This window comes from Homo sapiens, chromosome 11 (genome assembly GCF_000001405.40).
Source record: "Homo sapiens chromosome 11, GRCh38.p14 Primary Assembly".
Classification (NCBI taxonomy): Eukaryota; Metazoa; Chordata; class Mammalia; order Primates; family Hominidae; genus Homo; species Homo sapiens.
This window is the reverse complement of record NC_000011.10, coordinates 16,465,207-16,490,077: the sequence shown is the minus strand read 5'-3', so window position 1 is coordinate 16,490,077 and position 24,871 is coordinate 16,465,207. Positions and strand designations below refer to the sequence as shown.

The window sequence follows — 24,871 nt, the reverse complement described above, 5'->3', positions numbered from 1 at the left end:
GCCAAAAATTATTGAACACTTATTACTTTGTGGGCTCAATATGTTGCTAGATATTTTATGTAGATAATCTCATTTTATTATCCTAAAAATCTTTTAAGGTAGGTGAGATGAGATTGTGTTTATTTTACAAATGAGGAAACTAAGGTGCAGAGAAATTAAATAATTGCCCATGGTTACATATCTAGCAAATGTCAGAACCAGGGTTTGAAGCTAGATCTGCCTCCTAGCCTTCACTTTCTCAGTATACTAGACTGCCTTCTGGTTCCTGTTGTTTTGGTAGAGTGTGAAGTAATGGAACAAAAAGTTAAGAAAGTTAAAAAACTCATACTTTGCCATTGTTACTCTAAGAGGTTAGCTATGTTAAGTATACCTGTTAAGTGCCAGGGTACTGTACTAATTGCTTTACATGTTATCTCATTCAATTTTAGCAATGAATCTGTGTTGCATTTTATAGATAAGGAAATTGAAGTTATTTATCAAGGAAAAAGTAGTTAATCTATCTCAGACCATACTTTCAGAGGAATATTGCTGATTTAAAGATAGTTAGATAACTCTATTGACTATGTCTATTATATAATACAGTAGATACATACCATAAATGTTTCCTCATGCTGTTGTCTAGGATTCCAAATAAAAGTTTTAATAACCACATAATGACATAATATTATGCCTAGTGAGTGGGCTGTATTTTAAACTTTCCCTTATTTTTGGATGTAGGATATAGAACTCACATTATTAATTAGAAGATTTACTTGCATGTTAATGACAATTTAGAAAATACTCTGAATGTTGCTGAAGATTGTGACCTTTGCAAGTGTGAACTCTGTATAAAATAGTAGAACTGCATACTTTTTTTTGCTTAATTTATTTTTTCCAATTTCAAATGTTCAGCATTAAGGAAATTTAGAAAAATGTGAAAAATGGAAAGTGTTTACCTATTGTCCCATGCCCAATGGCAGCCTTTGTTAACAGCTTATTCCTCTCAGTCCTTTTCCTAAGAACATAGTCTTTTATTATTTTTTAAAAAGTGTGTGAATATAATTTTTATCCCCCCTTTTTGGCTTTACATCATGTACCTAGTGATGGAAAACTCTGACTTAAAATGAAAGCTCTGTCAGCAACTTGTCATGTGGTCCTAAGTGAGTTGTATGTCTGTTTCCTTGCCTGTAAACTTGGGCACATTTCACTGTGCTATCCCTGATATTTTTACTTAGAATGTGAGGCAACCTCTGAGGCTAGGCCAGATCTTGTCTGGACTTTAAAGTGGAATCTTCAAATTGTTATGAAGAAGATACAGTAAAATGATAAGCAGGATCTCTCCACGTGATCCTCTTTGTTTCTTTGTTTTTGAGAGTGAGCAAAAGACCTAAGGTAAGGTTGAGAAGGACTAACCTGTAGTGTGCAACTAAGCTCCTAGTGGGTCTACAGTGTTTATTTGTTAGGTGTGATAATGTGGTAGCATTACTAAAGTCACAACTGTAGGGTCTTGTACCCTTAAGGCATTCCTCTTTAAAAAGTGGATGACTATACTAGCCACCACATCACCTAAGATGTGACTTGAGCTCATTTCATCTGAGTCTTAGGGAAAAAGCAAAAAGGGAAATACATTTATGGAAGGCATACCCCATCTAGGAAGCATTTTCATATATCAAATCCCCACAAAAACTTTGGGAGGTAAATGTTAACATCCTCATCTTTAAAAGTATTTTTTTTTATTTTAGAAAGTGAGATTATATAGTTTTACAATCTGCTTTCTTCTCTTTACACATTTCATGCAAAGCTGTAATTATTTGTCTTCTTTACTAGGCTGTGAACTCCTTGAAGTCACCAACTCTACTGCATTCATTTTTGTTTTCTCAGGGCTTAACACAGTGCCTGGCACAGAGTAAACATCCAGTAAGTGATGAGTAAGGATGATTTACTCTAGGAATTGGGACTCTTAGATAATTAGCCCATAGTTATCAAATCTTTATTTTTCTTTTGTTTCAGCATCTCTCTTCCTTTTAATTTCTACCGTGAATTTAGAAATGCTTGAAAAATGTAAAGTGCCACATACATGCAAGTTGAGACTATGTTGACTCTCTGTATTCCCATAAGTTGTTCTGGTCTGTATCCAGTTGATAATGCAGTTGTTATTTTTATAGTAGTCTAAGTACATATTTGCACAACAGGCGGTGTCAACTCATCTAAGTTACTTGCTGTTATTTGCCTGATACTTTTAAATTACAGAGCTCCATTACTGAAGTCATTATTTGTGGTTAAGAGGGCGTGGTACTGAGAGTGGTAACAAGAAGACTTTTAAAAAATGAGGATTAAAATTGACCATCTTTAGCTGCCTTTAAATTTATCTTGATTTAATTATCTAGAACAAGTACAAATAATGGCCCTGCCTTAGTTTTTTCTATACGTCTGCTCTATACAAAATACGCTGATTAAAAAGAGGTATGGACTTAAAAATTAGAATTTATTTGCAAGATTTTGTTAAATGATTGCTTTTTAAATCTCTGCCACTCTACTGTTACTCCATTTTGTGAGCAGAACTCAGGAAGAGAAAACTCAGCAAGGATAGGAATCCTCTCCTCTTTCTGGATATGATAGTGCACTGCAAATGCAAGACTCTTCTAACTATGGCATCTATCTTACAATGAATCCAAATGGTCATTCCTGGAGGTCTGGGATTATGCTTTGTTGTCCTATATCCCTAGAAATTCCTATTCATGCCATTCATCCTGTGGGCTCTCAGAAATATTAATTGAATTGCTGAAGACTTGCTTGTATCTTTATCTCAGATTTTTAAAAAAAGCACCCTGCAATAACTAAGACTTAATTTTTTAGCTAAATTCCATGTCTAGTTTCTAATACCTCCTTATATTTTAAAAAATCATTATTTTATTGTTAAAAAACAGAAACTCCAAAATCATTGAGAATCTTTTCTGTAAAATAAGACATTTTACAGAGTTACAAAATTTTCATTTTTCCATACAAGTTTTTGTGAGCATGCCCACATTTAGCACAGTTACTCTTTAGCCCGGGAGTTTTTGAATTTTAGTGTGCTAGGAATTACCTGAGGACAATGCTTAAAATTAGATTCATGGGCCAATTCTCAGTATCATAGAATTGATTGGTTTGTGTGGAGCTCTAATAATCTTTAAAATTATTTTCTTTTTTTAAATTTTTATTTTATTATTATTATACTTTAAGTTTTAGGGTACATGTGCACATTTAATTTTGAGATGGAGTCTCGCTCTGTCACCCAGGCCAGAGTGCAGTGGCGCAATCTTGGTTCACTGCTGCCTCTGCCTCCCAGGTTCAAGTGATTCTTCTGCCTCAGCCTCCTGAGTAGCCGGGACTATCATGCTCGGCCAATCTTTGTATTTTTAGTAGAGATGGGGTTTCACCATGTTGGCCAGGCTGGTCTCAAACTTCTGACCTCAAGTGATTCGCCCACCTTGGCCTCCCAAGGTGTTGGGATTACAGGCGTGAGCCACCGCACCCAGCCACAATTTTTTTATTTTAATAAGCACTCTAGGCATTTCTAATATAGGTAGTCTGTGGATTATGTTTTGATAATGACTTTTTTTCTCCAGTCCTACTCATACAGGACCCTCTTTGCCTTTTTAAAAACTATTATTAAGTTGTTATCTCTGAAATCAGACAGGCTATAAGAAAAAAAAGATCTTAAAAAAGACAATAATAGGTGTTATTTCAAAGAAGTGTATTTTGATAAGAAAAGCAAGGGGCATGAAGGAATAAAGGAGAACAAGATTATGAAGTGAAAAGTTACAAAATATATTCTTTTTTACCCACTGCCAAATTTTTATTTGATTTTGGTCAGGTTGTCTTGCTGCCTTCTGTTTATGAAGTATGTGGAATTTTTCTGTAGTGAAGACGTCAAAATACAAATTTTGTATTAAGTCACATGGTAATTCTGTACCATGGATTAAGTCACATGGTAATTCTGTAAATAGTTTTTGGAAGTTTGTGGTCTATATTTTGATCTTGGTTCATAATGATAAGCTGCCTTTGTAAAATACCTTTATAAAGTAATGACAGGAGGTCTTCTAAATATTCCCTTCCTTCCCCTCCCCTCCCCTCCCCTCCCCTCCCCTCCCCTCCCCTCCCCTCCCCTCCCCTCCTCTCCCCTCCCCTCCCCTCCCCTTCCCTTTTCTTCCCTTCCCTTTTCTGAGACAGTATCTCACTCTGTTGCCCAGGATAGAATGCAGTGGCGTGATCATAATTCACTGCAGCCCCAACCTCCTGTGCTCAAGTGGTCTTCCTGCCTCAGCCTCCTCGGTAGCTGGGACTACAGGTGTGTGCCACCATGCCTGGCTAATTTTTTTTTTTTTTGAGACCGAGCCTTGCCCTATCACCCAGGCTGGAGTGCAGTGGCAAGATCTCGGCTCACTGCAACCTCTGCCTCCAGGGTTCAAGCGATTCTTCTGCCTCAGCCTCCCGAGTAGCTGGGATTATAGCCACGTGCCACCATGCCCAGCTTATTTTTTGTATCTTTAGTAGAGACAGGGTTTCACCATGTTGACCAGGCTGGTCTCAAACTCCTGACCTCATGACTTGCCCACCCTGGCCTCCCAAAGTGCTGGGATTACAGGTGTAAGCCACTGCACCTGGCAGCCTGGCTAATTTTTAAATTTCTTTTGTAGAGACGGGGGTCTCACTTTGTTGTCCAGGCCGGTTTTGAACTCCTCACCTTAAACGACCCTCCCACTTTGGCATCCCAAAGTGGTGGGATAACAGGTGTGAATCACTGCACCTGGCCCTCATTTTTTTTGTTTTGTTTTGTGTAGACACTATTTTTATGCTGACCACCTTTGTTCATAGATAGCTCTTATTGAATTATTCTTTCAGGAGAGCAGTAAAGTGTTGGCAGTTGTAAAAATGTGTCAAATTTATGCAATCCTATCTCTGATTTACAATTCAGTTACACATGTTGGCGGAGGTGAACTGGTGGGCCTAAGGAAATGCCACAATAATTCCTCCTCTCTTGACCCAGAAATGTCTTGATCCTGACCATATAATTTATTAAAGTAGGCTTAGGGTATGTTACATGAAAGTGTAAAGGTATTCTTCCTAGTGGGTGTGAATAGTATACATTTTAAAAAAATGTAAACTCCTGGTCCACTCAAGGAGATTTTGGTTTAGGAGGTCTAGAGTGGGGCCCAGAAATTTGAACTTTATAAAAGCTTTTTAGGTGATTGTATAATCAGCTAAGTTTTGGTACAACGTTCAACTCTATAAGAATTCTTTCCACAACATTCTTGGTAAAGAGTCATGCAGTCTCAACTTTGACAACTTCTATTTGATGATGCAACTTATTTCATTGCTTTAAAAGATTTATCTTGGACTGAACTAGGCACGGTTCTGGGTGGGAGTCTGGGGAGCGCAGCAGCCATGGCCAGCCACTTCGTGCTCAGCAACGGTGCCAGGATGTCCATCCTGGGGCTGGGCACCTGGAAGCCCCCTCCACGCCAGGTGACTGAGGCTGTGAAGGTGGCCATTGATGTCAGGTACTGCCATCTCGACTGTGCCCATGTGTACCAGAATGAGAATGAGGTGGAGGTGGCCATTCAGGAGAAGCTCAGGGAGCAGGTGGTGAAGTGCGAGGAGCTCTTCATTGTCAGTAAGCTGTGGTGCATGTACCATGAGAAGGGCCTGGTTAAAGGAGCCTGCCAGAAGACGCTTAGTGACATGAAGCTGGACTACCTGGATCCTTACCTTATTCACTGGCCAACTGGCTTTAAGCCTGGGAGGGAATTTTCCCCATTGGATGAGTCGGGCAATGTGGTTCCCAGTGACACCAACATTCTGGACACATGGGCAGCCATGGAGGAGCTGGTGGATGAAGGGCTGGTGAAAGCTATTGGCATCTCCAACTTCAACCATTTCCAGGTGGAGAGGATCTTAAATAAACCTGGCTTAAAGGATAAGCCTGCAGTTAACCAGATTGAGTGTCACCTGTACCTCATTCAGGAGAAGTTAAGTCCAAAGGCATTGTGGTGACTGCCTACAGCCCCCTCGGCTCTCCCGACAGGCCCTGGGCCAAGCCCGAGGACCTTGCCTCCTGGAGGATCCCAGGATCAAGGTGATCACAGCCAAGCACAATAAAACTACAGCCCAGGTCCTGATCTGGCTCCCCATGCAGAGGAACTTGGTGGTGATCCCCAAGTCTGTGACACCAGAATGCATTTGCTGAGAACGTTAAGGTCTTTAACTTTGAACTGAGCAGCCAGGATATGACCACCTCACTCAACTACAACAGGAACTGGAGGGTCTGTGCCTTGGTGAGCTGTGCCTCCCACAAGGATTACCCCTTCCATGAAGAGTTTTGAAGCTGTGGTTGCCTGCTTGTCCCTAAGTGACCTATACCTGTGTTTCCTGCCTCATTTTTTTCATTGCAAATGTAGTATAGCCTGTGTCACTCAGCAGTGGGACAGCAAACTGTAGAGTGGCCAGCGAGGGTGTGTCCAGCTTGATGTTGGATCTGAGGAGCCCTGTCAGTAGAATAGAGGTCTCTTCCAGTTTGCTTTGCCCTTCTTTTTGCCCTGCTGGGGAAAGTACAACCTGAATACCCTTTTCTGACCAAAGGGAAGCAAAATCTACCAGGTTAAAGTAGTGCCACTAACAGTTGAGTTTTAACTGCTTGTAACTGTAATCCTTTCAGCAAGACTTCTCTTTGCCTCAAATAAAAAGTGCTTTTGTGAACTTGAAAAAAAAAAGATTTATCTTGGACTGAACTAAAACCTACCACTTTGTAATTTCCACCCACAAGTATTGTTCTTTCTTTGGGAAGGAGGAAAGAGAAACTAATTTTAATCAGCATTTACTATATTATACTTGCTGTGCTAGGTATAATTGCCTCTTATTTGTATGCTTGAAAAAACTAAGGTAATTTCCTTGGCTGCAAAATGGAGTATCAGAGTAGATCAGTGGTTATCAAAATGTGGTCTGTGGACACTGGAGATCCCTGAGACCCTTTCACAGGGTGTGTTGTCAAAACTATTTTCATCGTAATGGGAAATTGCTAGTTGCTTTTTTCACTGTATTGACATTTGCATTGAGGATGCATAGCAATTTTGGGTTAAAACTGCTGGTGCCTTAGCACACATTAAGACAGTGGCACCAAATGATATTAGTAGTCATTGAATTCTTTATTATTACCACTCACGAAACAAACAAACAAACAAACAAAAAGGCAGTTTCACTTAAAAGCATTGTAGATGAAACAGTAAAAATTTTAATTTTATTAACTCTTGACCCTTCTTTAATACTCTGTGTGCTGAAATGTGAAGTATGTATAAGGCACTTACACTACATACTCAAGTATGATGGTTATCTTGAGGAAAATCACTTATAATTGAGTTGAACTAACTACTTTTTTCAAAGAACACCATTTTTTACTTGAAAGAACAACTAACAAACACACAATGGTTATTTAGACTTAAAAACTTGGCAGACATATTCTCAAAAATGAACAAAGTGAGCCTGCCTATTTTGTAGAAAACAAGTGACACTTTTTTGTCAATAAAATTTGAGCTTCCAAGAGCAAATTAGTAGTTTGCAAAGCTTTTACCCACCACCACAATCATGATCGCTTCCCAGTACTTAAAAATGTTTCTGATAAGATAGGGTGGTGGATATTAAGAAACGTGGTTTTAACAATATTGCATAATAAAATATGTCAATGTTTTAAACTCAGTGAGCCAATGTTTCTTAAATGAACTAATGTATGATGTTACAAAGTCATGCATGGCTAAAAGATCCATTTAAAGGCGATTTGATTTTACGGTAATGGAATACAAAAAGTTTATTGATATTCAATTTTTAGATTCCATATTGCAATTAACTTTTGAGAAATGATTACTTGTCAAATTTTGATATAATATAAAAGAATAGCCACAATTATTTGAAAAGGCTATTAAAACATTCTGCCTCTTTCTAACTACCTATCTGTGTGAAAATGGATACTTTTCACATACTTCCACCAAACCAACATATCACAACAGATTGAATGCAGTAGCACCTATGATAATCTAGCTGTCTTTTTCTAAACCAGACATTTGAGAGATTTGCAAAGATGTAAAGCAATGTTAGTTTTCTCTCTCTTTTTTTTATTTTGGAAAATATGCTTGTATTTCATAAAATACTTTATAATACTATGTAATAGGTTTATTATTGTTATTTAAAATAACTCTTTAAAAACTTTAAAGTTTTAGTTTCTAATATAGTAAGTATTGATAAATGTAACAATAGCTCTTTGTGACCCTCAATAATTTTTAGGACTGTAAGGGAGTCCTGAGACCAAAGAGTCTGAGAACCACTGGACTCAATGATCTCCAAGTTCATTCCAACCACCATCATTGAACATGCAACCATGCTATTGTAACATGGTTTCCATAAAGTTTCCTAGCCATTCTCCTCTGAATGCTTTGTCAATGTCCCTTCTAAGTGTGGCCCTCAATACCAAAATAATATTGAAGAGATATAGGTTGAGCAGCATGGAATACATGAATAGGCTATTATGAGGTAGCTTCAATAATAACTACCTTTGGAGATCTTTAAGAATAGGAGAAATTCCTATTTCTTTGAGGAAGGAAGTTCTTCCAGAACAGCAGAGTGGTGGACTAGGTAGCATCTTAAGTTGTCTTCCTTGATACCTCACAAATACTCTAACCTTTTGCATTAGAAGACATAATTTTCTATTCAGTACTGTGATGTTTTAAATTATTAACAACTGCATTTAAAAAAAATACTGGACATTAGCTTAATGTCAGTCCTACTGAAAGTCAAATTTCACATTTTATTATTTATAGTTAATTCAAATTCTGCATAATTTAATATGATTATTAAGGAAAAAGAAAACTAAGCATTATGGAGTTCAATAAACATGGGTTTAATCTAGTAAAGCTGCAAGCAAAAAAAGTGATAATAACAGTGAAGAATTGAAATTTTTAAATTGATGGAGCTTTGGAGGAAATAGCAATAGTTTTAATGCAACAATCACATCTCCTGCAAAACCCACTTGAATTTGCATACAGGATATTTTTAATGTGTAATTTTTATTCTGATATATAAAAGACCAGGCATCGATATTTTCCTAAAAGTTAGTTGAGAAGATAAATGCGTTGAAGACAGTTGTTTTAATTCAGTGGCTCACTATGTATAATATTAGTAAAATCAATGCATCAATAAATTTTAAAAAGTTATTTAATTCTTGACTTCAGTTTTAATCATGCAGTGCTATGATTTAATGTAAAAGTGGACAAAATTTGTTACAGGTGTTTTGGAAGCACTTTAGTTCTTTAAATAATACCTTAGAATCATTGAGTCTCAGGGCTGTAAGGTCATTTAATCCAACCACCCATTTGATACTTGAACTTTCTTGCTAACTCACATAATAAAAAGAAGGTGGGGGGGGGGTTACTAAAAACAGAAATGGGTGTGGCTTAAAGACAGACTTTTAAGCAGGATTTAAAAATGTAGCTTGAAAGCTTTTAAAGTCTAATTATACAGGGAGGTGGCAATGTTTTTATTTGCTATTTACCTTTGATCTATTACCTATTTTTGGTAGAGTGGGACATGCTTTTGTGAAAATGTTTATGGTTTCTTCATTTGATGTTAAGATACTCATTTGAAGTTGCCCTGTAATTTTGAGGGTTTTTTAAACTAATATTAATATTTGGCTTTTGCTCCCAGACTAATAGCAAGTTATCCTAGATCTGGGTCATTTCTTTTGAATGTCTAAGTGATATACTGAATTTTAGAAATATCTTCCTCATTTTGGCATACATTAGACATGCTAAGTATAAAAAAATCTAAATAATATCAAACCATAAGGGTAATAAAGTAAAAAGAACCTATGGCACCCTGCCCAATGTTAACATTTTTGTTAAATTATATTTTGTGAAACTTATACATGCATATATATTTGATTTTCACATAAGTATTTGATATTCTATAAATTGATGGGCTTTTATTATACACATATTTTTTATTCAACAATATATTGTGGCCATCTTTTTTGTCAATAAATATAGATTTATATAATGATTTTTAATAATTACAGAGTAGTGTTATATGTATGTAGCACAATTTACTTATTCAATCAATAGGTTATTCCTAATTTTGGCTATTATAAAAAACTGTAGTGAACATACATATTAAATGTATCTTTTATCATATTTATAATGAGCTCTTTAAGATAATTTTTGAAAGTAGCGTTGAAATCTCAAAGGATATAGACAGTAAAAGTTTTAAAACTTATTGTAAAAGTGCCATTCAGAAAAGTCATACATTTATAATCCCATCAATAGTATATGAAAGTGCTTATTTTTCCACACTCTCACCAATACCAGTTTTTGTCCAGTTTATAAAACGTTTTGCCAATATTATGAGTGAAAACATTTTATTTACATTTCTTTGGCTATTTGGGAGGTTCCTAATTTTTAATGTATACATTTTTATATTATTGGACATTTGCATTTCTTCATTTGTACATTTCTTCTTTGTATCCCTTGTTCTTTTTTTTTTTTTTTTAAGACAGAGTCTCACTCCGTTGCCCGGGTTGGAGTGCAGTAACGCAATCTTGGCTCACTGTAACCTCCGCCTCCCAGGTTCAAGTGATTCTCATGTCTCAGCCTCCTGAGTAGCTGGGATTACAGGTGTGCACCACCACACCCGGCTGATTTTTGTATTCTTAGTAGAAATAGGGTTTCGCCATGTTGGCCAGGCTGGTATCAAACTCCTGGCCTCAAGTGATCCGCCTGCCTCAGCCTCCCAAAGTGTTGGGATTACAGGCATGAGCCACCCCTCTTGGCCCCTTGTGCATTGTTATATTGAAGTATTTGTAGCAATGCATTTTTTATTTAGTACATTAAGAATATATCAAAGACTTGATGACTAAATATTATGGAACAAATTACCACCATGGTCAGATGTGTAATAGACTGTGACCCAGGTTGGATTATTGATTGTTTGAAATCCTTGATGGGAAAGGCCATTATTTTTTTTAATTTAAATTTTTGTGTTCTTACTGTCCAGTGTGATCTTTAACCCATGGTCACTCTTCGCTGAATGTATAAATGAGCAAATAGAGAACTGGAACAATCCATGGGTGATTAGGCGTTCTGAGGATTCATTTTACCAAACAGATTGAGATTTTCCAGAACACGTAATGATTTGCTCTGGCATTTCCTTCTCTATCTTTTCACATTTGTGCTGCCATCAGGACCATAGTGACTGCTTTTGTTTTTGGAAATGTCTTTTTAAGACTAAACTTTTCTAGTTCTTAAAAAGGTACCTATTTCAAGTTGTGTATATATTAATTCTTAACTCTTTGCCCCTCATAAAATGTTGCTTGTTTAGCCTTCAGTTAACTGCATGCAGAACTATGCATTAAAGTCATTTTTAAAATTATATAATGATGAACTCTTTGACCATAGGAACTTATTATTTTTTAATTCTTTGCTGTAAATTTCACCAATAGTGCAAATCCATTGATAATGAGATTCACAGTTGCTTTTAACATATGTAGCACGACTGGACTGATATGATGAATAAGATTTATTGACTTTGTATTGGTGTATGTGAAAATATTATTTGTTCTAAATGTCTGGAATCTGACTTGTTCCAAAATTAAAAATATTTCTAGAGTTAGAGATCTTAATTCAAGATAGTTCATTGATTAAAAAATTAAATCTATGCTAACCACAATATTTTCTGGTCACATTTTCTTTTAGCTCCCCATTCTTTATGTGGAAGTGAAGGAATAGGATGTATCATGTATCTTGCATAATTCCAATTAATGCTTTTAAAAAAGTAGTTGCCAGAAAAACAAGGTGTGGTATTTTAAAATGTATAAGTACTAAAAACTCTTTCGGATTCTTCTAGAATTTAGACTTTTGGATATACAGCATTTTGCTATAAAATTTATTTTGTGGGTAACTTCTTTATAAGGAAATTATAATTTATAACTCAGCGGGGGATAGCACGTGAGGATGGTTTGAATCAGAACCAGTACTCTTTGATGGTTTTGGATAATACACACAGTGTGTCCAGGTAGGCTTGTCTGGTGTCCCAGATAAAATTACTCTCCCAGATCCCTAAACAGCAGAGGCAATGAGGAAGAAAAGGGTATAATACCAACAATTAATGACAGAGCTAGCCAGACTGTCCTGTACTTCTTGCACTGTGGAAGTAGGCGTTAGAGTTGCTGGAAACTGGTGAAACTGGAGAAGCCCTGAGGCACCATTTCCTACAAGGACAAGAAGGTCTAGTGAAGAAGTCTAATGGGTATGTTAGCTGTTGATGCTTAAAGCTGTCCAAATGCCCACACCTTTATCATCTATCAATCTTTAAAAAGATTTAAAAAAAAACTTTTTTTAGAGATTTTTTAGAGATGTTGCCTAGGCTGGTCTTGAACTCCTGGACTCAAGCAATCCACTCGCCTCAGCCTCCCAAACTGTTGGGATTACAGGCGTGAGCCACTGCACCTGGCTCTATTATCTATAAATCTTGACTAGAAAATAGAATAAATTACCTGGATCATTTAGGTAAAAGCATATTTTAGGGGTTGAAGAGGGCTGAGTTAGATATTTATTTCATATTCATCTTAATTTCAGATGCCTATACCTAATCTATTAAGGTCATTTGTGCTATAATTGCAAGTTGGGTGCAGTGGTTCCTACAAATGATGTTGATCAAGATCCATTGTTTTTCAGAAGGATTTTATTTAAATCTAGTTAGCTGTAACTAACCTAGATATTTGCTGGCTATATTTAAAAACTGCAGATTGAATCAAGCCAGTCCCCAGAGCCTAGGAAAGTTTCTGACCTAATTTAGGAACCCAAGCTCTATTATTATTTTTAGTTGACTACTACTCACAGCCATGCTCACATTTTTGAAAGAATACAGCCTCTGTAACAAAGTTTCTTTGTTTTAATGGAACTAAAAATATGCTGTATTTAGACCAAACAATAAAAATAAACTACCAAACCACCTTAATGCATGGGGGTCCTGGATAGAGAAAATCATAGGCATGTAGAGGCATAAAATGACTCTTTGTATGTTAAAAATTTGTATAAGGCTAGCTCTGTGTGTTTGAGTTGCATCTGTTACCTCTTCAGCCAGAACTAAAGTATATGTGAGCAAAACAATTTTGGATTGAATTATGGCTTATACAGAATGCATTGTATATAGCCTAAGCATCTTATGGGTTCCACGCCTTAGGTAGAACAAACACTGCATTCTTTCTTATTAATTCTACCTACAAGGTATTCCTGTCAGGCACATTTAAGATATTCTCTGTGAAGCTAATTCATTTCAACTTGCAGACATAAATTAAATGTTTTTCAAATATAAATTATAAGCCTGTTTCTTTCTTTCTCTTAAAAATTTTTTCCCTTTTGTTCTTACTTATTTGTATTTTTATCACCTACTTTATTACCGATTTTTTTAAAAGAGCAATATTGGATGGAAATGTGGCATTCTTAGATGTAGAACCATGAAATAATTGTTTCTTTTGGCATTATCATTTTGGAAAAAGTTGTTAAAGTAGATGGGGACAACTGCATGAGTTAAAAATTGTATGATTTGTAGCCAGAAAGTATACTTCTTTAATAAAGCATATAAATGCAATTTACTTATCCTTTTTTATTTCATTTTCTATTAAATTTTCAGGTCACTTTCATGAATTCAAAGGCAATTTACCAGTGATTTCTGGGTGCTGGGGCTGATATTTTTTGTGCATATTTGTAAGTATTGGTTTATCTTTACTTTTCTCATTGTGTAATGAAACAGTTACAGTTTGTAAACAAGTTCTTAACTCCTAGTGCGTGTGAATTTTTATTAGTTTTTTTGCAATTGTTTTGTAATTATTATTTTTTGATAAGTGTTTTCTTAGGAGGAGCATAGAGAAAAGTACCAGCTGGTAAAGAAGCCTCAATTTGTTGTAATTTCCAGTGAAATAACACAATGCAGGGCCCATTATAATAAGTTTAAAGAATAACTATCTTACTCTTTGAGAATAGGGCTCAATTGTAGGAATGAGTTATCTTAAAGAGTCTAGTCTATATACACGTGAATAATTTACACTGATAACTTCTGATAGTCTTCTGGTTGTCTGTACTTGAAAAGTGCTATGTGCCTATGCCCATAGAGAAGATGTGAGACAATGTAGAATTCAAAGAGCTGTCAGCACATGAGGAGATAATGTACAGGCATACCTCGTTTTATTGCACTTTGTTTTATTGTGCTTTGCAGATTTTTTTTTAAGCAAATTAGAGGTTTATGGCAACCCTGCATTGGGCAAGTCTATCGGCACCATTTTTCCAACAGCATGTGCTCACTTCATGTCTCTCTGTTACATTTTCATAATTCTCACAATATTTCAAACTGTCTCATTATTATTATGTCTGTTATGACGATCTATAATTAGTGATCTTGATGTTACTATTGTAATTATTATGGGGCCGCACCAAACAAGCCCAAATAAGGTGGCAAACTTGTGTGTATTGTGTGTATTCTGATTGTTCCACCAACTGGCTGTTCTTCCATCCCTCTCCCTCTCCTTGAGCCACCCTGTTCTCTGAGGCACAACAATATTGAAATTGGGCCAATTAATAACCCTACAATGACTTCTAAGTGTTCAAATGAAAGGAAGAGCAGCACATAAAAGTCTCACATTAAATCAACAGCTACGAATGACAACTTTGTGAGAAAGGCATGTTGAAAGCTGAGACAGGTCAAAAGCTAGGCCTCTTGTACCAGTTAGCCAAGTTGTGAATGCAAAGGGAAAGTTCTTGAGGGAAATGCAAAGTGCTACTCCAGTTAATTATGAATGATAAGAAAGCAAAATAGCCTTATTGCTGATATGGAGAAAGTTTGAGCAGTCTGGATAGAAGACCAAATGAGCCACAACATTCCCTTAAGCCAAAGCATAATCCGGAGCAAGGCCCTAACTCTCTTCAATTTTTGTGAAGGCTGAGAGAAGGGAGGAAGCTGCAGAAGAAAGTTTGAAGCTAGCAGAGATTGGTTCACAAGGTTTAAGGAAAATAGCAGTCTCCTTAACATAAAAGTGAAGGTGACACAGCCAGTGCTGATGGAGAAGCTGCAGCAAGTTATCCAGAAGATCTAGGTAAGACCATTGATGAAGGTGACTACATCAAACCACAGACTTTCAGTGTAGATGAAACAGCCTTATATGGGAAGAAGATGCTATCTAGGACTTTGATGGCCAGAGAGGAAAAGTCAGCGCCTGGCTTCAAAGGACAAGTGGACTCTTTTGTTAGAGGCTAATGCTGCTGGTGAATTTAAGTCGAAGCCAATGCTTATTTACTATTCTGAAAATCTTAGGGCCTTTAGGAATTAACTCTGCCTGTGCTCTACAAATGGAATAAGGAAGCCTGAGTGACAGCACACTTGTTTATAGCATGGTTTACTGAGTATTTTAAGCCCACTGTTGAGACATACTACTCAGAAAAAAAGATTCCCTTAGAGATGTTATTTCTCATTGATAATGCACCTAGCCATCAAGAGCTCAGATGGAGATGTACATGGAGATTATTGTTGTCTTCATGCTTGCTAACAGAGCATCCATTCTGTAGGCCATGGATCAAGGAGTAATTTCAACTTTCAAGTCTTATTATTTCAGAAGTACATTTTGTAAGGCTGTAGTTGCCATACATAGTAATTCTGCTAATTGATCTGGGCAACGTAAATTGAAAACTTTCTAGGAAGGAGTCACCATTCTAGATACCATTAAGAATGTTTGTGATTCATGGGGGTAAGTAAAAATAGCAATATTAAGAGGAATTTGAAAGAAATTTATTTCAACCCTCATGGATGACTTTGAAGGGATCAAGACTTCATTGGAGGAGGTAACTGCAGATGTAGTAGAAATAGCAAGAGAAGTGGAATTAGAAGTAGAAGTGGAGCCTAAAGATGTGACTGAATTGCTGCAGTCTCATGATACAACTTGAGAAGATGAGGAATTGCTTCTTCAAAATGAACAAAGAAAGTACTTTCTTGAGTTGGAAACTACCCTGGTGAAAGATGCTGTAAACATTGTTTAAATGACAACAAAGGATTTAGAATATTACATAAATGTAGTTGATAAAGCAGCAGCAGAGTTTGAGAGGATTGACCCAACTTTGAATGATGTTCTGCTGTGGGTAAAATGCTATCAAACAGCATTGTATGTAACAGAAAAATATTTTGTAAAGAAAGAGTCAATGAGGCAAACTTCATTGTCTTATTTTAAGAAATTGCCACAGTTGGATCACAAGGTCAGGAGTTCGAGGCCAGCCTGGCCAACATGGTGAAACTCCATCTCTACTAAAAATACAAAAAATAGCCAGGCGTGGTGGTGCATGCCTGTAGTCCCAGCTACTCAGGAGGCTGAGGCAGAAGAATTGCTTGAACCCAGGAGGCGGAGGTTGCAGTGAGCCAAGATCATGCCACTGCACTCCAACCTGGGCGACAGAGCAAGATTCCATCTCAAAAAAAAAAAAAAAAAGGAATTGTCACAGCCCACAGCCACTCCAACCTTCAGCAACTACCACCCTGACCAGTCAGCAGCCATCAACATCAAAACAAGAGCCTCCACCCATCAAAAAGATTATCTTGCTGAAGGCTCAAATGATCATTATGATTTTTTAGCAATAAAGTATTTTTAATTGAGGTATATACATTGTTTCTTAGACTTCATGCCATTGTACACTTACCAGAGTACAGTATAGTGTCAACATAACTTATATGCACTGGGAAACCAAAACGTTTGCGTGATTTGCTTTATCGCAACATTTGCTTTATTGCAGTGGTCTGGACCAAACCTGCAATATCTTCAAGGCACGCCTATACTAAGGCATACTATACTCTTCCCCATCTGCAAAACACCATTATATTTTAAATAATATTTTGGAGAACAAAGGTACTTTTTATAAATAAAGAAGGCAAATTTCAAGAAAAAAATTGAATGAACTTTAAAAACCTATTAAAGTACTTGAAATTAATCAATATATATTATATAGAAGTGCTATAGAGTATGTAGCAGGTATTAAAAATGTCTCTGTGGATGTAAACCTACATTTAAGTAACTTGCATTTAAAATATATGTGTATGTATACATTGTTGTAAACTGTTGGTATTTAAGGGGCTTTTTTACATTTGATAACAGCAAAGACACAGGAAACTTTTTCTTTGTTAGTGTACTGCTATAAAGGAATTTTAAAGAATATACTTCTAGGAAATTATTTGAAATAAGTAATGTTATAAATTAGAGTTTAAGTGATTCTCTATTTAAGCAGAGCTATTGAAAATTTATTTAATACCAGCTTTACCTTTCTTTTAATAATAGTATTGATTAGGATAGGCATTTTGAACCAGCTTAAAAAAATAGATGTTCATGTTTAATATAGTTTAATACATTTTATGTATTTTTAATGTTTTAATAATAAATTGTTATTTTATGAAACTCTATCAATTTACATTTTATTATTTTTAGATGTAAGTCTTATGTAAAGCACAAAATTATATAAACTGTGGGGTCATTTGGATTAAACATAAGCCTTTAATTTATGCAAGGTATTGTGGTGAGGATTAGGAAGCAAAGAAGATGGAGAAAGAAATATAAAGTATCTTTGAAGGGCTCTTTGTGAAAACAGGATTCTAAGGAACCGAACTTATTCTACTGGAAATCTGAGTGAAGGGAAATAATTCTGAGCTGTCCAAATCTTATCTTAGTTGCTTTGTCTCTTTTTTACCTCCTTTCTCTCTTCTTTCATATTATTTAGTCATTCGCTTTAGTAAGTTTTCAGGATGAGTAAAGTTTTTAATGTGACAAATATAATTACCAGCATTTCAAACCAAGATGGCCTTCATTAAAATATAGTTTACATTTCTTATCACCCAAAGGATCTTTTTCCTGAATTCTTCACTTTATTCCCTCCATCAAGACACATTTAGACTAACTTTGAATGGTGGTGATCCAAGTAGCTGATCACTTTCTTTTGACTTAACAAAGGGAAAGGCTAAAATTAGAAGGGGCACTGTTGATGTCGTTTCTGTATGGTTATTTCTGGAGTTCCACTTCAAACAAACAAACAAAAAACCAAACATCTTTTAGTCAGATTTTGTCTGGCCACTTAGGCACATGTCATGCTAGTCATACAGGCTTAAAGCAATTATTTTCTGGTCTTGAGAATTTACATATGCTTGTTTAGGGCATGGGCTTTGGTGTTCCTTTGGTCAGTGATCTCAGGTTTTGCTAGGGCTGTCTCCTGACTGCAGAACCTTTTGGTTAAAGAAATATAGCCGGATACTATGACTAAGATAAGTCAGATGAAATTAACATGGCATCCAAAATTCCTGAGTTTCTAGTTCTCTCATTTGTTGTGGAAACTGTTCAACCACTTAGACTGAAAGATGAGGCTTCTAAAACGATAGAAATATTTGTCTAGTCAGGCCTAAGAACAGGCAAATGGGTTCAGTGACAATTACTTCTTTTATGAACCTTAATTTCCATGTCCTACAACTGCTTATTTGCTACATGATCTAAGGCAGAAAGTTATACCTCATGGCCATGGGAAGGTTTCTTAGTAAGGTGTGCAAGTCTGTCTGTGAGATAAGGAAGGTGGGATATTGTTTTGCACATCCATAATGAATGGGCTACACCAAAAGTGTGTGAGAACTGACTGGAATCTTAGCTACTCAAATCAACTACCTAGGCCGGAAGAGGAAAACACTGTGAAGGAAAATGGCTGTCTCTTCAGAAGCTGCATCTTATTCTAGTGTTTTTTTTCTCTTAAAAAAGTAAAACTTCCTTTTTTTCTTTTCCTAAAGTAAGCATTGTGGAAGATTGCCTTATTTTGCATGTTCTTATCTCACATTTGATTTTTTCTTATCTCTAATGAAAAATAATTATGTAATTCTGACCGTTTAATTTTACCAGAGCAGTAAATGATGGGTTAAAAAAAAAACAAAAAAAAAATCGGACATAGTTTATTAGCTACCCTGCTTTTTCAGGTTACCCAAGTCTTTTTAGTAATTTGATAATGAATTCCTTTAAAAAATTCTATCTTGACTCATGGTCTCTAATAGCAATCTTTTTCCTGATGTTTCTGACAAGGATTTTATTGTGTGGTACAAAAAGTGATTATTGCCTAACTCTAGGCTTGAGGCAATAATAATACCAACAGAATATTAAGATAGTATAACACTTGATTCTGCAGACATTTAATTGGCTGAATTTCATGAAAACTCTGTGGAATGAGTAGGAATTATCTTTATTTTTGCAGAGTAGCAGGATTCAAACCTTGAATTCATGGTATAAATTTAGTGCTCCTTTCACAACACCGTGCTTTCCTCTTTCAGAGAGAATTTCAGCTCTCTTTTGTTTTTGATCACTATCTCAGTCTTCACTTGGTTGCTGTATAAATATTTTTGAAATTTTGAGATAGACTAAGTCGGGGAGGAGATTGTAGAGACGCTTCTACCACTGACTTCATTTCCTCAGGTTCCTGGACCATTTGGTCCTCCCTGATATTTTCCTACTCCTCTATTCCAAAATTGCCACATGTCATGCTTCAGCTGAAATTTTTTGAATTACATAGATTTTTAGGGAAGCAAACAAACAAAAATCACAAAATCATGTCTTTGTGGCATTTTAAAATGGAAAGAAATCTGTTTAAAACTGAGCATAGCCCAGACCAAAGATCCCTCAGTGAGAATATCTGTGATTTTAAGGACAAGTAGGTCTAAGTGCGTTATCTTTAAAAAATATTATTCCAGGCTAATCTTGACATAGAGCAGGTAAATAAAAAAGATGAGCTGTGAAAATCCACAAATAGGGCTTGAATGCCATTTTCCATGACAACGGGAGCTGCCCCATGAAAGCATTAATGCTGGGAATGTAAGGAATTTAAAATTGTGCCTTCTCAGTTTTACAGTTGTGTGCTCATGTTAATTAGAGATATACTGACATTTGAAGTATCTACATTAATACACACAGCTACTATACATTTGTGAAATGTGGCCAGAAATCTACTTTAATTGAAAGGAGTTTGCTAATCTGAATGTGTATACCCATTACATTTTAAGCTTTTAAATTTTATATACTAGGTCCCTTAGATACTTGTTCTTTTTGCCCTCTCTACTTTCTGTTTCTAATTTATACCTGAAAGGACAGCCTGGCCTATTTTTAATCTCTTAGTGGTGTTTTGGAGCTGTATTGATGGAATTTTGAGAAAAAAATATTTTTAATAGTGCTTTTTATTTGCTGTAGTTTTGAATCTTTTTTTCCCTCTCTGACTTTCTGAATTACTGTTTTTTCTTGCAAACCTTTAAAATGGCCTGCCACCAAAATAAGGTAGGATTTAGGTGTATGAAATTTGCTTCACTGACTGTGTTTAAGGACAAAAATGCTACTCTTTATTGTCATACTATGGTTTTAGTCAGAAAAGCCCATTGTTGGAGACCTTAATGGAATAAACAGTGAAGAGGAATTCTGGTTTTTCCAGTATAGCTGAGTTTTATCTTTCAGTCTTCATGTTAAGCCATGTGTCTTAATTTTTGATTTGCAAATAGGTTCACAATAGCTTGATGACTTTTTGAGGTCATCTTTAACCCTAGAATTTTTGCTTTGTCTGTCTTAACATTTAAAGTAAGACCTTACATCTCTTTTTTGCAAGCTTGTATTTCTTAAGAATCTGTCAGAGTTTTTAACCTAATTGTTTTGTGCTTGTTGTCTAATGAAACTCCTGCACTTACTTTTTGGACCAGTCCCTGAATATTGCACAAGGCCAGTTAGAAAGAGGCTTCGTTTTTGTAGCACCAGAACAAACTGCTCTAAAAAGTTTGTTAATACTCTGGACTTGTTTCATTAAACCATTTTACTGGCACTATTAAACCACTGAGACCTGGGACCATTAAAATTTACTCAGTTACTATTATTATTATTATGGCCTATTTTACACTTTATTACTTTTTTTTTTTTCGCTGTACCAAGTTCCTCTGTTCTTTATTCTTCCATGTTGCTTACTACATATTGTGCCACCACAGCACATTTGGTAATTTCAAGTTAATTGCTCAATTATCAGTGATAGTCATGAAGCATTTGAAACATGCGCGGTGGAACATTTTCAAAATTTCAAAATAAGTTGGTGTGTCATAATCTTAAATGTGAAACATGCCAATATCTGCAGGCATAAAAATACACAGCCTGAGCTAGGCATTTCAGGAAGGCAAAAACCTACTCTTAAAGTCAGGGCTTTTGTCTGGCACTGAAGTGTTTCATCTTCGCTAATTTCAAACAACATGTCTAAATTTGATCTTGGTTTACTTTTCAACTCTAAAAATTTGGTTGTAGTTTATAAAGGAAAATGGAAGTAAAACTGTATTGATTCTGTCTGAATGTTTTACCATGACCTCATAATCCTGTATTCACTATAATGTGGAATTGGTGTGAGGTGGATCCATGTTGGGTGCCGATCAAAGAAGCTGACTTATTAAAGAAGCAGAACTCATAAGGCAATCTTCTAATCAGAGGACAGTGTTACAGTGAAGATCATATATTGATGATTTATTGATACTGAAAAACAAACCCACAAGAACAATGACACTTTGAGGACTTACTCTGAATCCTACACACTAGTATTTTCAGATGCCTGCAAAACAACTTACACATTATAGCAAAATAATTATTGTAACTCTTTTGGCAACTAGGCAAACTATCATTAAATTTTTGCATTAGTATTCAGTTTAGGGTTTTCTCCAAAGTAATATAGTGCAAACAGCTCTTTTTTTTAAGATGCTGTTATAGTTCTTTCACATTTTTATAGTACTGTAGTTAAAGTTGAATTTACTGGATACATTTGAAGGTGGAGTAGAGTTGCACAAGAGTCAACATTAAAGTGATTCAGTGCCCGATGGAGAAAACTTCTTTTTAACTTGAGATTGGAAACAATGTGGTGGTTGGGGGCAATTTTCTAAGAGCTGCTAATAAATTTGAATATTTCCCTAAAAAGCTGCTTTCTGAACTTGTTTCTAACCAAGAAGATAAGCTTAATCATCTTCCAGTATTATTACATAGCTTTCATTAATATTGAAAGGAACTAAGTGCATGTAGAGAAGGGGAAATAAAGCCATTATTTAAGCTTAGTGGTGGTCTCACATATAAAGAAGTGAAGAAGTGTCAATAAATACACTAATTGGGCATAGCTGGCTTTTTTGTTGTTATTTAACCTTTAGCATGTCTTTTTGTTTGTTTGTTTGTTTGTTTTTAACTTTTAAGTTCAGGGGTACATGTGCAGGGTTTATTACATAGGTAAACTTGTGTCATGAGGGTTTGTTGTACAGATTATTTCATCCTCCAGGTATTAACCCAAGTACCATCAGCTAGTTTTTCTGATCCTCTTCCTTCTCCCACCTTCTGCCCTCTGATAAGCCCCAGTGTGTGTTGTTCCCCTCTATGTGTCCATGTGTTCTCATCACTTAGCTCTCACTTTTAAGTAAGAATATGTGGTATTTGGTTTTCTGTTTCTGCATTAGTTTGCCAACGATAATGGCCTCCAGCTCCATCCATGTCCTGCAAAGGACATGATCTCATTCTTTTTATGGCTGCATAGTATTCCATAGTGTGTATGTACCACATTTTATTTATTCAGTCTATCGTTGATAGTCATTTAGGTTGATTTCTTGTCCTTGCTATTGTGAATAGTGCTGCAATTAACATATGCATGCATGTGTCTTTATAATAGAATGACCTATATTCCTTTGGGTACATACCCAGTAATGGGATTGCTGGGTTGCATGGTATTTCTGTCTTTAGGTATTTGAGGAATCGTCACACTGTCTTCCACAATGGTTAAACTAATTTACACTCCCCAAACGGTGTATAAGCATTCCTTTTTCTCCACAAAGTTACCAGCATCTGTTATTTTTTGACTTTTTAATAATAGCCATTCTTACTGATATAAGATGGTATCCTATTGTTTTGATTTGCGTTTCTCTAATGATCAGTGATGTTGAACTTTTTTTTCATATGATTGTTGGCCACATGTACGTTTTCTTTTGAGATGTGTCTGTTCATGTCCTTTGCCCACTTTTTCATGGAGTTGTTTTTTTTTTTTTTTTTTTTTTTTGAGACGGAGTCTCGCTCTGTCGCCCAGGCTGGAGTGCAGTGGCGGGATCTCGGCTCACTGCAAGCTCCGCCTCCCGGGTTCACGCCATTCTCCTGCCTCAGCCTCCCAAGTAGCTGGGACTACAGGCGCCCGCCACTACGCCCGGCTAATTTTTTTGTATTTTTAGTAGAGACGGGGTTTCACCGTTTTAGCCGGGATGGTCTCGATCTCCTGACCTCGTGATCCGCCTGCCTCGGCCTCCCAAAGTGCTGGGATTACAGGCGTGAGCCACCGCGCCCGGCCGGAGTTGTTTGTTTTTTTTTTTCTTGTAATTTTGTTTAAGTTCCTAATAGATGGTGGATATTAAACCTTTATCAGATGTATAGTTTTCAAAAATCTTCCCCCATTCTGTAGATTGTCTGTTTACTCTGTCGATAGTTTCTTTTGTTGCACAGAAGCTCTTTAATTAGATCACATTTGTCAATTTTTGCTTTTATTTTATAACAGTGATCTATAAGATGTGAAATACAGTCTGTCTATAATTCAGGAAAAAGTGAAGTCATTGATTACTCAGGTTTTTAGATAGAAATATTTTAGTAACTATTCAGCTTATAAAGATTAATAAGTGAAATGTGTCACTCTCAGCATATAGTTTTATCTCAAGTTCATATTTTATGTTATTTTGTAATATTGGTAAAAATGATTATAATTTCACCAAATTTTTGCTAGCTCCAAAGCATAAAAATGTGAGTTAAAGATTGCCAATAAAGGTAAAGCATTTTGTGTATTCTCTCTCTGAGTATGACTTACATATTTATTGCTGGAGGTATTCAAAGACATGAGGCAATGACAGTATAAAAAGAATAATTTCCAAAACATCACCTTTTATAGATAACTGGCAAAAGAGAATATTCTTAATGTTTAATTATTCAAAAAAGTTTGTTCATGTGATGTAATGCTTGTTATTATTATTATTTGCTTAGCACTATAGGCTTGGCACAGTGCTTACAAAAGAAGAAGAGATGGTCTCTACCCCAAGGACTTAAAACTTGTTATGTTACTAGAGAGTTTATGTGGGTGGAGTTTTCTTTGGATACAAACTGTACTGGAGTTAGCTCTTTCTCTTTCTTTTCAGCTCACACAGTTTGATATAAACTTAAGTGAATGAATTCATTAATAAAAGCAGATTTTCTATTTTTATTTCACCTCTGGGCTATTTTATACCTTTGGAGCACACAAGCACAACAAAAGGTATGTTTTACAGTTAATTGTTTTTCCCTTTTTTATCCTGACATCGTAGATAATTAAGCAACAGCATTAATGGAACCCAAGTCTCCACTCCTATAAATGCCTGTGTTGGGCAGAATATAGATTCTTTCTTTCCTTAAAACTAAGGCAGGCTGGTGACAAGCCTATCACTTAGTTTTAATTACAGCCACTAGTATTCTGATGTTTCACTGAACAAAATGAAGAAATCCAGATGTATTTTTTTCCATTATTATATATATATAGTAGAATCATTAATCAGAATGGATTGTTTTAAAGGTGAGATTGATCTCACATATTTTGATATCTGACATAGTAGTAAGTGTATGCTCATTGGACAGCTGGCAGTTTTAAGGGATTAAAACATTCTGAGATTTGTCCTGGCAGAGGCAGTATGTGGAAGCCACTGTTTATGTTGACTTTGTGACTAGTTAGAGTTTTTCCCTGGAATTGTAGTCACAGGACAGATAACTAAATGG

General features: G+C 35.8%; 1 protein-coding gene and 1 pseudogene across 2 annotated transcripts in view, besides 3 other annotated features; both read left to right on the top strand.

The window, feature by feature from the left end:
• SOX6 (SRY-box transcription factor 6) overlaps nucleotides 1-24,871 on the top strand; it is a 772,029-nt gene that overhangs the window by 248,400 nt on the left and 498,758 nt on the right. The window contains exon 1 of one of the 2 annotated variants that reach the window (NM_033326.3): nucleotides 13,690-13,763. The exons of the other annotated variant lie outside the window; for it this stretch is intronic. The gene's annotated coding sequence lies outside the window, so the exon portion shown is untranslated. Of the gene's footprint in view, nucleotides 1-13,689; nucleotides 13,764-24,871 lie in introns of those variants that run through there. 2 annotated transcript variants of the gene reach the window in all.
• On the top strand, nucleotides 5,369-6,716 carry AKR1B1P3 (aldo-keto reductase family 1 member B1 pseudogene 3; annotated as a pseudogene).
• Nucleotides 12,591-13,707: a promoter, noted in NCBI's record as "-1116 promoter". NCBI's record gives the evidence for it as "EXISTENCE:reporter gene assay evidence [ECO:0000049][PMID:20852263]".
• Nucleotides 12,924-12,959: a promoter, noted in NCBI's record as "1116-S6 fragment". NCBI's record gives its function as "has promoter activity in vitro" and the evidence as "EXISTENCE:reporter gene assay evidence [ECO:0000049][PMID:20852263]".
• Nucleotides 12,925-12,955: a protein binding site, noted in NCBI's record as "SOX6 site". NCBI's record gives its function as "negative regulation of transcription" and the evidence as "EXISTENCE:protein binding evidence [ECO:0000024][PMID:20852263]".